The sequence below is a fragment of the Homo sapiens genome, chromosome 17 (genome assembly GCF_000001405.40).
Source record: "Homo sapiens chromosome 17, GRCh38.p14 Primary Assembly".
In the NCBI taxonomy this organism is placed as follows: Eukaryota; Metazoa; Chordata; class Mammalia; order Primates; family Hominidae; genus Homo; species Homo sapiens.
Genome location: NC_000017.11, coordinates 38,283,557 through 38,295,736, shown reverse-complemented (window position 1 = coordinate 38,295,736; position 12,180 = coordinate 38,283,557). Strand labels below are relative to the sequence as shown.

The following is a 12,180-nucleotide window of genomic DNA, read 5'->3' as shown; positions in this document are numbered from 1 at the left end:
TCTGCCTCCCAGGTTCAAGCGATTCTCCTGCCTCAGCCGCCAGAGTAACTGGGATTACAGGTGCACGCTGCCATGCCCGGCTAATTTTTTCTAGTTTAGTAGAGACGAGGTTTCACCGTGTTGCCCAGGCTGGTCTCCAACTCCTGAGCTCCGGCAATCCGCCCACCTCGGCCTCCCAAAGTGCAAGGATTACAGGCGTTTTTTAAAGCTTGACTTCGCAGCTATATCGTACATTCTTATGTGGTAAGTATTTCCCTACAAGTTCCAGCCACAGTATTGAACCTATAGCACGACACATTAATAGTGACATGAAATTAGTGCTGTATGTATGTGTTGAAGAGTATGTGGGGTCGTGTGGGGTGGCTCACACTTGTAATCCCAGCACTTTGAGAGGCGGAAGTGGGTTAGATCCCTTGAGTCCAGGAGTTCAAGACCAGCCTGCCCAATATGGCAAAACCCTATCTCTACAAAAAAATTAAAAAATTAGGCCGGGTGCGGTGGCTCACACCTGTAATCCCTGCACTTTGGGAGGCCGAGGCAGGCGAATCACGAGGTCAGGAGATTGAGACCATCCTGGCTAACATGGTGAAACCCCGTCTCTACTAAAAATACAAAAAAAATTAGCCGGGCATGGTGGCAGACGCCTGTAGTCCCAGCTACTCCAGAGGCTGAGACAGGAGAATGGAGTGAACCTGGGAGGCGGAGCTTGCAGTGAGCCGAGATTGTGCCACTGAACTCCAGCCTGAGCGACAGAGCAAGACTCCGTCTCAAAAAAAAAAAAAAAAAAAAATAGCTGGGCATGGTGGCCCCAGCTACTGGGGAGGCTGAGGTGGGAGGATGGCTTAAGTCCAGGAGGCAGAGGTTGCAGTAAGCCAAGATCCCACCACTGCACTCCAGCCTGGGCAACAGAGCTATTCAGTGCCTATAGAAGCATAGGGAAACAAGAAAAAAGAAAAAAATAGAATATATGTTATTAAGCATTTAAATAAGCTATATCTGATTATTTAACAGACTCCTGTCCACCTACTCTAATCCCTAGAAAATAAAACATGATTTTTTTTTTCTCTTGAGACAGTTTTCACTCGTCAGCCAGGATGGAATGCGATAGCGCAATCTTGGCTCGCTGCAACCTCCATCTCTCGGGTTCAAGTGATTCTCCTGCCTCAGCCTCCCAAGTAACTGGGATTACAGGTGCCCACCACCACGCCCAGCTAATTTTTTGTATTTTTAGTAGAGATGGGGTTTCACCATGTTGGCCGGGATGGTCTCAAACTCCTGACCTCAGGTGATCCGCCCACCTCGGCCTCTCAAATTGCTGGGATTACAGGGGTGAGCCACCGTGCCCGGCCAAAACATGAATTATTTTTACTGGTATTCCCAACCAAAGTGAGGAAAGTTTACTCCATGGATGAGAGGTGTTTTTTTTGTTTGTTTTTTTGTTTTTTTTCAGATGCAGTTTCACTCTGTCATCCAGGCTGGAGTGCAATAGCTCGATCTCAGTTCACTGCGACCTCTGCCCCCTGGGTTCAAGCGATTCTCCTGCCTCAGTCCCCCGAGTAGCTGGGATTACAGGTGCCTGCCACTATGCCTGGCTAATTTTTGTATTTTTAGTAGAGATAGGGTTTCACCACATCGCCAGGCTGATCTCTAATTCCTGACCTCAGGTGATCCATCTGCCTCGGCCTCCCAGAGTTCTGGGATTACAGGCGTGAGCCACCGCGCCTGGCCAAGATTATTGATTAATGCAGAACATTAATATAATTTATCTTAGATTACTTCCTCCACCATTGAGTTTTATGTTAGCCTCACACAGTAGCCAACACATCCCAGATCATCTCTGCCCACCCTCTGATCAGTTTCTCAGTTAATACAAACTTGTTCCATATCAGCCTGGATGAAATAATGATAGGGGAGTCAATATCATTTAATTGCTTAGAGATGAGCTATAAGTTAGTTTTGTTGTTGTTTGATGAGCTACTGTTTTGGAAAATTCATATCTTCCTACCTCATCAGCTTCATGGAAAATTGGGAGCTGGCCAGGCACAGTGGCTCACGCGTGTAATCCCAGCACTTCGGGAGGCTGAGGCAGGCAGATCACCTGAGGTCAGGAGCTCAAGACCAGCCTGACCAACATGGAGAAACCCCGTCTCTACTAAAAATACAAAAAATTAGCTGGGCGTGGTAGCGGGCGCCTGTAATCCCAGCTCTTCGGAAGGCTGAGGCAGGAGAATTGCTTGAACCCGGGAGGTGGAGGTTGCGGTGAGCCGAGATCATGCCATTGCACTCTAGCCTGGGCAACAAGAGCAAAACTCAATCCCCCCCAAAAAAAAAAAAAAAAAAAAAAAAGAAGAAAATTGGGAGCTGTCTGTTAGAGAAGTAACACCAAAAGGATATTTCTTTTCTTTCTTTTTTTTTTTGAGATGAAGTTTCACTTTGTTGCCCAGGCTGGCGTACAGTGGGACGATCTCGGCTCACTGCAACGTCGGCCTCCAGGTTCAAGTGATTCTCCTACCTCAGCCTCCGAAGTAGCTGGGATTACAGGTGCCCGCCACCAAGCCTGGCTAATTTTTTCTATTTTTAGTAAAGATGGGGTTTCACCGTGTTGGTCAGGCTGGTGTCGAACTCCTGACCTCAGGTGATCCACCTGCCTCATCTTCCTAAAGTGCTGGGATTACAGGCATGAGCCACCGTGCCCAGCCAAAAAGGGTATTTCTTAATCCTACAATCTTAGTAATTCACATTTCAGAAAAAGCAAGATAAAAAGATCTTGTCACGATGATGGGAGCAAGAGAAGAGAACTCATTGTGCAAGTAGAGGAAGGAATCGATTGTTAGGGGCTCAGTCTTGGCAAAGAACACTCTTGCACATAGTAGACACTCCAATATTTATTTATACAATAAGCAGATGTGAAGAATTCCAGTTGAAATATGATGGGGCAGGCCGGGCGCGGTGGCTCACGCCTGTAATCCCAGCACTTTGGGAGGCCGAGGCGGGTGAATCACGAGGTCAGGAGATCGAGACCATCCTGGCTAACACGGAAACCCCATCTCTACTGAAAATACAAAAAATTAGTCGGGCGCGGTGGCAGGCGCCTGTAGTCCCAGCTACTCAGGAGGCTGAGGCAGGAGAATGGCATGAACCCAGGAGGCGGAGCTTGAAGTGAGCAGAGATCTGGCCACTGCACTCCAGCCTGGGCGAAAAAGCGACACTCCATCTCAAAAAAAAAAAAAAAGAAAAGAAAAGAAAAAGAAATATAATGAGGCAGAAGGAAAAGTTGATTTCCTGTTTTTCCCAGTGAAGTGGGTTACTGGAATCCCTTGTTGTCGTATTGAAATTTCTAAATGGAGCCCGAAGAGGGCTGGGTGTGGTGGCTCACACCTCTAATCCCAGCACTTTTGGAGGCTGAGGCAGGCGGATTGCTTGAGGCCAGGAGTTCGAGACCAGCCTAGCCAACATGGTGAAACCCCATCTCTACTAAAATTACAAAAATCAGCTGGGCGTGGTGGCATGAGCCTGTAGTCCCAGCTTCTTGGGAGGCTGAGGCATGAGAATCATTTGAACCTGGGAGGCAGAGGCTGCAGTGAGCCAAGATTGTGCCACTGTATTCCAGCCTGGGTGACAGAGTGAGACTCTGTCTCAAAAAATAAATAAATAAAATAAATGGAGACCAAAGAGAATGAGACTCTTCCTATGTAAGCAGTGGAGCACACACTTACATTTTTTCCCCTCCCAGTGGCAGATGACATCAGAGATGGAAACTTCAGAAATTCTGCGTAGTGACCTACTTTCTAGGAGAAGCACAGCTGATTTGAACCAGGAAAATTCTTCTGGAGAACTGGGAAGAACCCAATTCTAAACAATATGATACTAGAATTGGAGCAAGTACTAGGCTTGCCATGTATTTATATTGTACTTCCCTTCCCTAAAGTGAGACTATGGAGAGCAAAATAAGTGAATTGTCCAAAATAAGGTGCTGTAGAAGAAACAAGGATCCTGACTTTCTAAGAAATATTCTCAACTGAGCTTTAGTTAATTAGTTAGTTACTTAGAGATGGGGTCTCGCTTTGGCACCAGGCTGGGGTGCAATGGTACCATCACAGCTCACTGCTGCCTCAAATTCCTGGGCTCAAGGGATCCTCTTGCTTCAGTCTCCCTAGTAGCTGGGACTACAAGAGCATGCCACCATATCCAGCATTTTTTTTTTTTTTTTTTTGTAGAGACAAGGTCTTGCCATTTTGCCCAGGCTGGTCTCAATCTCCTGGGCTCAAGCAATCCTCCCCTCTCAGTATCCCAAAGTGTTGGGATTACAGGTGTGAGCCACCACGCTCGGCTTCAGCTGATCTTTAGCAAGCAATATTAGTAGAGCTTGTTTGTCACTCGAGTTGACTGTATATGGCTTTCACATAGTGAAAGTGGTTAAGAATGCTATAGTGCCTGAGTTTACATCTTAGCTTCACCTTTTTTCCTCACCTATAGAAAGGGGGTTATTGGCCGGGCGCAGTGGCTCACGCCTGTAATCCCAGCACTTTGGGAGGCCAAGGCGGGCAGATCACGAGGTCAAGAGATTGAGACTATCCTGGACAACATGGTGAAACCCTGCCTCTACTAAAAATACAAAAATTAGCTGGGCGTGGTGGTGCATGCCTGTAGCCCCAGCTACTCAGGAGGCTGAGGCAGGAGAATTGCTTGAACCTGGGAGTTGGAGGTTGCAGTGAGCTGAGATCGTGCCACTGCACTCCAGCCTGGGCGACAGAGTGAGACTCCGTCTCAAAAAAAAAAAGAAAAAGTAGGGGGCTGGGCACGGTGGCTCACACCTGTAATCCCAGCACTTTGGGAGGCTGAGGTGGGTGGGTCACGAGGTCAAGAGTTCAAGAACAGCCTGGCCAACATGGTGAAACCCCATCTCTACTAAGAATACAAAAATTAGCCAGCTGTGGTGGCACGTGCCTGTAGTCCCAGCTACTCGGGAGGTTGAGGCAGGAGAATCCCTTGAACCCAGGAGGTGGAGATTGCAGTGAGCCGAGATCGCACCATTGCACTCCAGTCTGGGCGACCGAGCAAGACTCTGTATCAAAGAAAAAAAAAAGTAAGAAAGGAAGGGGGTTATTAAGTAGAATTTAAGTAGAATTGTTGTTAACTCATAAAGTGAATTCATATATGGTCCCACTCTGGTTAGTTATAATTACTGCTTCCAAGCCCCATCATAGCCCTGAAAGGGATATAAGGAGCCTAGCAGAAACCTGGAAAGTGTAACTGCTCTTTGTGCTGGACACAGATAACATCCCTGCCCCCAGAGTCCACCCCAGTGCAGCGTGCCTAAAGCAAGAGAGTTCCTGTTGGATGGATGAACAAGAAGTCCACAGGAAGCCCTGAGCGTTAGCTCTCTTCCCCTAGAGAGCAGTTCTCGCCTTTGTTGAAGCTAAGACCACTGAAATGCAGGTAGCTTCCAAGCCCAAAAGTCATTCCTTATTCCTGTGCTGAAGGTCTTTCTTCTCTTAGCTGCTGTTCTTTCCCATCTATCCTTCCACTCACCCCTGCTGCTGGGGACAAATCCTTTTCCTTTACCTCTTTCTGCTTCCTTGCCCTAGATTCCTTATTCTAAAGACAGGTTTCGGAAGAGATGTTGCTTGCTCACCTTGGCTGAGCCAGAAAAGAAGCCCATGCATCCCATTGCTCAAGCTAGGTCTAGAATTAATCCCTCACCTCTTCTTGCTCCACTTTCACCCCAGATAGCTAAATCAAGCAATAATCCTAAAAGGGAATTTCAGGCTATTTTCAACTCCCCACATCCCCCACCTCCCACACCATGTTTAGGGAGGAGAGAGCAAAGCCCTTGGATCAGAGTAATCTGTTTCTAACCCACTTCCATTCCCAGGGATTACCTCTCCAGGGGGAGGGAGACAGAAATAAACCTAACAATTTAGTGCTAGAAACTTGGGAAAGAAGCTCCAGGAGTGCCTTGGAGGGCTGTAGGCATGGGGTTCCAGTAGCCTGGGAACTTCTTCTCATATGCTGGAGTACCCTGTAAAAGGGTCCACAAACTTGAAAAGCAATGCCTAGTGTGGCAAGAATAGGCACTCTATAAATGTGCCCATTGGATGAAAGAATGAAAAATGTATGGATTGTGGGCAGATGAAGGCAGAAACAATATCCTTGTTATACCTACAACCTTTATGTCCTTGTATGCACACCAATTTATGGCTAAAATCAATCAACCAACAAATAAGGAAGTGCGATAGAGTGGAAACACCTCTGGATTGGGAGACAGGAGATATGGATTCTAGTACCACCATTGCCGACATTGATTTGCCCTTTGGCCTTTGGCAAATTGCTTTGCCCAAAGTCAGTTTGTTCTCTGATCACTAATTTTCTCCATTAAAAAAAAAAAGTCTCAGCCGGGCACAGTGGCTCACACCTGTAATCCCAGCACTTTGGGAGGCCAAGGCGGGTGGATCACGAGGTCAGGAGTTTGAGACCAGCCTGGTAAAGATGGTGAAACCCCGTCTCTACTAAAAATACAGCTGGGCGTGGTGGCATGTGCCTATAGTCCCAGCTACTCAGGAGGCTGAGGCAGGAGAATCACTTGAACCCGGGAGGTGGAGGTTGCAGTGAACCGAGATCATGCCACTGCACTCCAACCTGGGCGACAGAGCGATACTCCGTCTCAAAAAAAGTCTCCCTCTAGAGCCCTAAAGGCCTACAGTCCTGTGTTATGTATATTGAGCCCCTATTAATAATGTACAAAGTCCTAAGCTCATTTATATACTAACAGTGACTCATTTTGGGGGTCCCTTGTGAACCAAGTGCTTGGCACACATTTTCTCTAGTCTGTATTCCTTCCTCTACCCTGCATGACCCTGCTATACAAAAATCTACCTTCCGGGCGGGCACGGTGGCTCACGTCTGTAATCCCAGCACTTTGGGAGGCCGAGGCAGGTGGATTGCCTGAGCTCAGGAGTTCAAGACCAGCCTGGGCAACATGATGAAACCGTATCTCTACTAAAATACAAAAAATTAGCCGGGCATGGCGGCGTGCATCTGTAGTCCCAGCTATTTGAAAGGTTGAGGCAGGAGAATTGCTTGAACCTGGGAGGCGGAGGTTGCAGTGAGCCAAGATCGTGCCATTGCACTCCAGCCTGGGCAACAGAGCAAGACTCCATCTCAAAAACAAAAACAAAAACAAAAACAAAAAAATCTATCTTCCAGCTGACCATTCTTTTGGGATGCTCTCCTGTGGCTGGGTGAAGGCTTCCTTCTCAGCTCTTTGGGATTGGAAACAGGGAAGCTGTGCGAATGCAGAAAACTTCCACTAGAGGGTACCAAGGCTGCACCGGATCTCAGACTGCAGGGAGGCCTATGTAAACCCAATTCCTGGATGTTTAAATACCTATGTTGAGAGATTCAGGGATCTCCATTAATTCCTCACTACCGGTGGGAGGTGGGCGAGAGATAAAAAAACTACATATTGGGTACAGTGTACACTACTTGAGTGGCTGGTGTATTAAAATCGCAGACTTTACCACTATACAAATCATCCATGTAATCAAAACCACTTGTACCCCAAAAGCTATTGAAATAAAAAAAATTAATTTAAAAAAATTGCTCAGCCGGGCGCGGTGGCTCACGCCTGTAATCCCAGCACTTTGGGAGGCCAAGGCGGGCGGATCACGAGGTCAGGAGATTGAGACCATCCTGGCTAACGTGGTGAATCCCCGTCTCTACTAAAAATACAAAAACAAAAAATTAGCCGGGCTTGGTCGCGGGCGCCTGTAGTCCCAGCTACTCGGGAGGGTGAGGCGAGAGAATGGCGTGAACCCAGGAGGCGGAGCTTGCAGTGAGCCGAAATCGCGCCGCTGCACTCCAGCCTGGGCGACAGAGCGAGACTCCGTCTCAAAAAAGGCTTTTTTTTTTTTTTTTTTTTTTGAGAACGGAGTTTCACTCTTGTTGCACAGGCTAGTGTGCAATGGCTCGATCTCGGCTCACCGCAACCTCGGCCTCCCAGGTTCAAGCAATTCTCCTGCCTCAGCCTCCCAAGTAGCTGAGATTACAGGCATGCACCACTACGCCCGGCTAATTTTGTATTTTTAGTAGAGACGGGGTTTCCCCATGTTGAGGCTGGTCTCGAACTTCTGACCTCAGGTGATCCGTCTGCCTCAACCTCCCAAAGTTCTGGGATTACAGGCGTGAGCCACTGCGCCCGGCCCCTTGAAAAGCTTTTAAGAAGTCTCTACTATTTGGACATCATTTTGCTTTCTTCATTTTGATTACTTCAAATCAAAGAAAACTTGGCATAATGAAATTCGTGGGGGCTCTGGCAACTGATGTAGATCTTGCTCCACTATTTCCAAACTTTATTAGCCAATTACTTAAGTCATCTGCATTTCAGTGCAAACCCATCTGTGGAATGGAGATAATTTCGCAGATGGGTACACTGAAATGCAGAGAACTTACCTCATAGAGGGGTTGTGAACGTAAGTAAAATCATATATGGAAACAGGTAACTCGGTAGATTGTAGGTGCCTAAAACCGTTTTTGCACTGGCCTATTATAAACTGGGAATTGAGATGTTGAGGAGAGAAAGATGGATTTGCAGGCACTGAGTACCTCCAAACAAGAGACGTGACCTTTTGTCATTTTGCTCTTAAGGCTTGCAGGTTTCCAGGCTAGCGCTGCAGGGCATGCCCCAGCCTTATCCTTCAGCTGTGTTCTATCATCTGCAACAGCCCAGCCATGTCGTTCTGCCCTTTTCCCATCCTGATTTCTCTGGAGGTGAGTTTAGTTTCTACTTCCTACTCGCCTCCTGGATGAAAAGTCTCATGTACGGTGTTTTGCCCTGTGCTTTCTGAAGTGTCACATCTCCACCTAGCTCTGCTCTGCCCTTTTCCTCTCATCTCTCCAACAGTCACTTCTGGGGTGGAATGTGCCATCTGTTTCTGAAACTGAGCAGAAGTTTGGGAAAGGGGGAGGGACAGCCGTGTCCAGGGCTTGCGTGTCAGCAGACACGTTACAGCTGCTGCAGGGCAAACCAGGGTGAAACCACAAGCCAGAGGACCCAGGGCAGGCAGCCGTGAGGCCCGCCCCTCGGCTTCTCTCTCATCTGTCTCACCCAGAGGTTTCCTGGCAGGAGTGGGAGAGGTTGGTATCGAGTCCTTGAGCCCTGACTCATTCCCTGACCTAGTTGGGTGGTACCCAGTTATCTCCTAAATCTCTCTCCAGGGCCCTCTGTTAGCAACACAACAGTATCATCCTAGACAGAAGACGCAGGAGGAAAGCAGACTACCTATTTATCTCATTCCCTTCTGAGGGTCCCAACAACAACCAGGAGGTTTACAGGTTACATTGCTTATAAAATGACCAAAATCATCCCATAGAGCTACACTAAGAGATTGGCTACTTTCCAGATTTCTCTATAGAAACAATCATGCTTACCTTTCTCAAAAAAAAGAATAAAATCATTATTTTATTTTACTTGGGCAGGGGAAGGGACTGAAACACTGAACCAGGAAGTGACTGGTGATTATCACACAGTTAATCAGGGGCCTAACTAGGGACATAACTCAGGTTTCCTAACCCCACCCCAAATTCCATTCTTTCCCTCAGCTTAGTTACTTATGGACTACAGTAATGTCCTGGGCTTTCTGGACTTTACCAAAGTTCTTGTAATTGTCAAATTCCTGAGGGTTGGATAGGAAGCTGATTCTGTGATGCTTCTGGGCTTCACATGTATCTCTTTCACAGTTTGTCCTGTAGAAAACATGAGATATATATTTGTTGCCTCCTGGACAGGTTGCCAAAAACACTTTAGATATTATTCTTAGATTCAAAGAAGACCAATGTGATCCTAAGGTTAGATCTCAGAGACAGAATATTCCATTTTTAAATCATTTGTTGCTGTTCAAGATCCTCATATCTTTATGAGTCACTGTACCAGTAGATGCTGAAAATTATTTTCTTACCCTCCCTTTATTCAGAGGTCCCCATCTGGGCTGGGTGTGGTGGCTCGCACCTGTAATCCCAGGGCTTTGGGAGGCCAAGGCAGGTGGATTGCTTGAGGCCAGGAGTTCGAGACCAGCCTGGCCAACATGGTGAAACCCTGTCTTTACTAAAAATACAAAAATTAGCCAGGCGTGGTGGCAAACGCCTGTAATTCCAGCTACTCGGGAAGCTGAAGCATGAGAATCACTTGAATTTGGGAGTTGGAGGTTGCAGTAAACCGAGATTGTGCCACTGCACTCTGTGTAACAGAGACTCTGTCTCAAAAAAAAGATCCCAGTCTCAGCTGGGCACGGTGGCTCACGCCTATGATCCCAGCACTTTGGGAGTCTGAGGTGGGCAGATCACCTAAGGTCGGGAGTTTGAGACCAGCCTGACCAACATGGTGAAACCCAGTCTCTACTAAAAGTACAAAAATTAGCCGTGTTTGGTGGCCGGCACCTGTAGTCCCAGCTACACGGGAGGCTGAGGCAGGTGAATTGCTTGAACATGAGAGGCGGAGGTTGCAGTGAGCCGAGATCGCGCCACTGCACTCCAGCCTGGGCGACAGAGCGAGACTCCATCTCAGAAAAAAAAAAAAAAAGGTCCCAGTCTCTCCTTAACTAGGGTCATGCTTCTAAAGACATTAGCTGGTTTCCAAGAAAGCAGATTTTAGCTTTATCCATTGGCAGAGAAAACAGTCATTGCACATAGGCCAGAACATTCTTTCTGCCAGAGCTCCCCATCTGGAAGAAAAGAGAAAGAGTTTCAGAGTTTCCATAAGGGCTGCCTAAAGGGGAGGAAGAGAGAGGGAGCCATAGGGAGGGAAGAAGAACGTTACAGGGCTGCAATCCCAAGCCTAATAGTCTGAAAAGAAAATCAGATACTGCAGGCCTGAAAACCTGAGTCAGCATTGCCACACCTCTCCCCTCTACCTAACCCTTAGTCGGGATTTCTTTTGTTCTTCACTCTTTGATTTTTCACATGTACGTATCTATCCTACCTGTCTCACCTCAAAATTTTCTTTCCATTCTTTGTTCTTTATGTAGCTCCCCTCCAAATTTGTGCTCTCCCTATAGATGATTAATAGAGGTTTGAGGTTCCAAGACTAGGTCTTTTTTGGGGTTTTTTTGAGATGGACTTTCGCTCCGTCGCCCAGGCTGGAGTGCAGTGGCGTGATCTTGGCTCACTGCAACCTCCGCCTCCTGGGTTCATGCAATTCTCCTGCCTCAGCCTCCCGAGTAGCTGGGATTACAGACGCGTTACCATGCCCAGCTAATTTTTGTATTTTTAATAGAGGTAACTGTATATTTTTAATAGAGGCGGGGTTTCAGCACGTTGGTCAGGCTGCTCTCAAACTCCTGACCTCAAGTGATCCACCCACCTTGGCCTCCCATAGTGCTGGGATTACAGGTGTGAACCGCCGCACCCAGCCCCAAGACTACTTCTTAATACTTTTTGTTTTGTTTTGTTTTAGAGAGATTCTTGCTATATTGCCCAGGCTGGTCTCATATTCCTGGCGTTCAAAAGATCTTCCTACCTCAGCCTCCTGAGTAGCTGGAACTACAGGTACTCACCACCATGCCCAGCTCCCAGCTACCTAATTTTTTTTGTTGTTTTTTTTGAGACAGGGTCTTGCTCTGTTTCCCAGGCTGAAGTGCAGTGGCACAATCATAGCACAGTCTCACTGCAGCCTTGACCTCGAGCTCAAGCAATTCTCCTGCCTCATCCTCCCAAGTAGCTGGAACCCCAGGCACATGCCACCATGCCCAGCTAATCTTTTATTTTTTGTAGAGGCAGGGTCTCACCAGGTTGTCCAGGCAGGCCCAACTACTTTTTAATACTTCTCAGAAAAATAGGATCATAGAGTTAGAAGGAACTTTCTCATAACCTGTGATTCTCAGAAGGAGTTTGGTGGGTCCAAGGAGCCCCTGAAATTGAATGTCAATTTTAGTACACGTATGCATCTTTCTGGCAAGAAGGCCCATAGCTTCCATTGGGTTCTCAAAGGGTTCCATGATGATACCTTCCATTCAAATCCCTGCTGTGGACCATACAGTTCAGTGTTTTTCAGAATAAGGCTGGGAACCCAAGTTAATTTTGGAATCTAGGTCATGACTTACATTTAAAAAAATGAATAATATAGAATAGAAAATATAATCGTGCATCACACATAGTAAAGACATTAATTTTTTATTAACTAATAAT

At 47.0% G+C, this 12,180-nt stretch overlaps 1 long non-coding RNA gene across 1 annotated transcript in view, besides 1 other annotated feature; it reads left to right on the top strand.

Moving 5' to 3' along the window:
- Positions 1 to 131: 131 nt before the first annotated feature.
- Positions 132 to 12,180, top strand: part of LOC105371760 (uncharacterized) — a 28,835-nt gene continuing 16,786 nt past the window's right edge. The window contains exons 1-2 of the long non-coding RNA XR_934732.2: positions 132 to 243; positions 8,647 to 8,769. This is a non-coding gene — a long non-coding RNA (uncharacterized LOC105371760). The remainder of the gene's footprint in view (positions 244 to 8,646; positions 8,770 to 12,180) is intronic.
- Positions 8,486 to 9,685: an enhancer, noted in NCBI's record as "P300/CBP strongly-dependent group 1 enhancer chr17:36442025-36443224 (GRCh37/hg19 assembly coordinates)". NCBI's record gives its function as "activates an origin of replication core promoter dependent on BRD2, BRD4, P300/CBP, MED14 and CDK7 cofactors, with strong dependence on P300/CBP, by STARR-seq in HCT116 cells {active_cell/tissue: HCT116}" and the evidence as "EXISTENCE:reporter gene assay evidence [ECO:0000049][PMID:35650434]".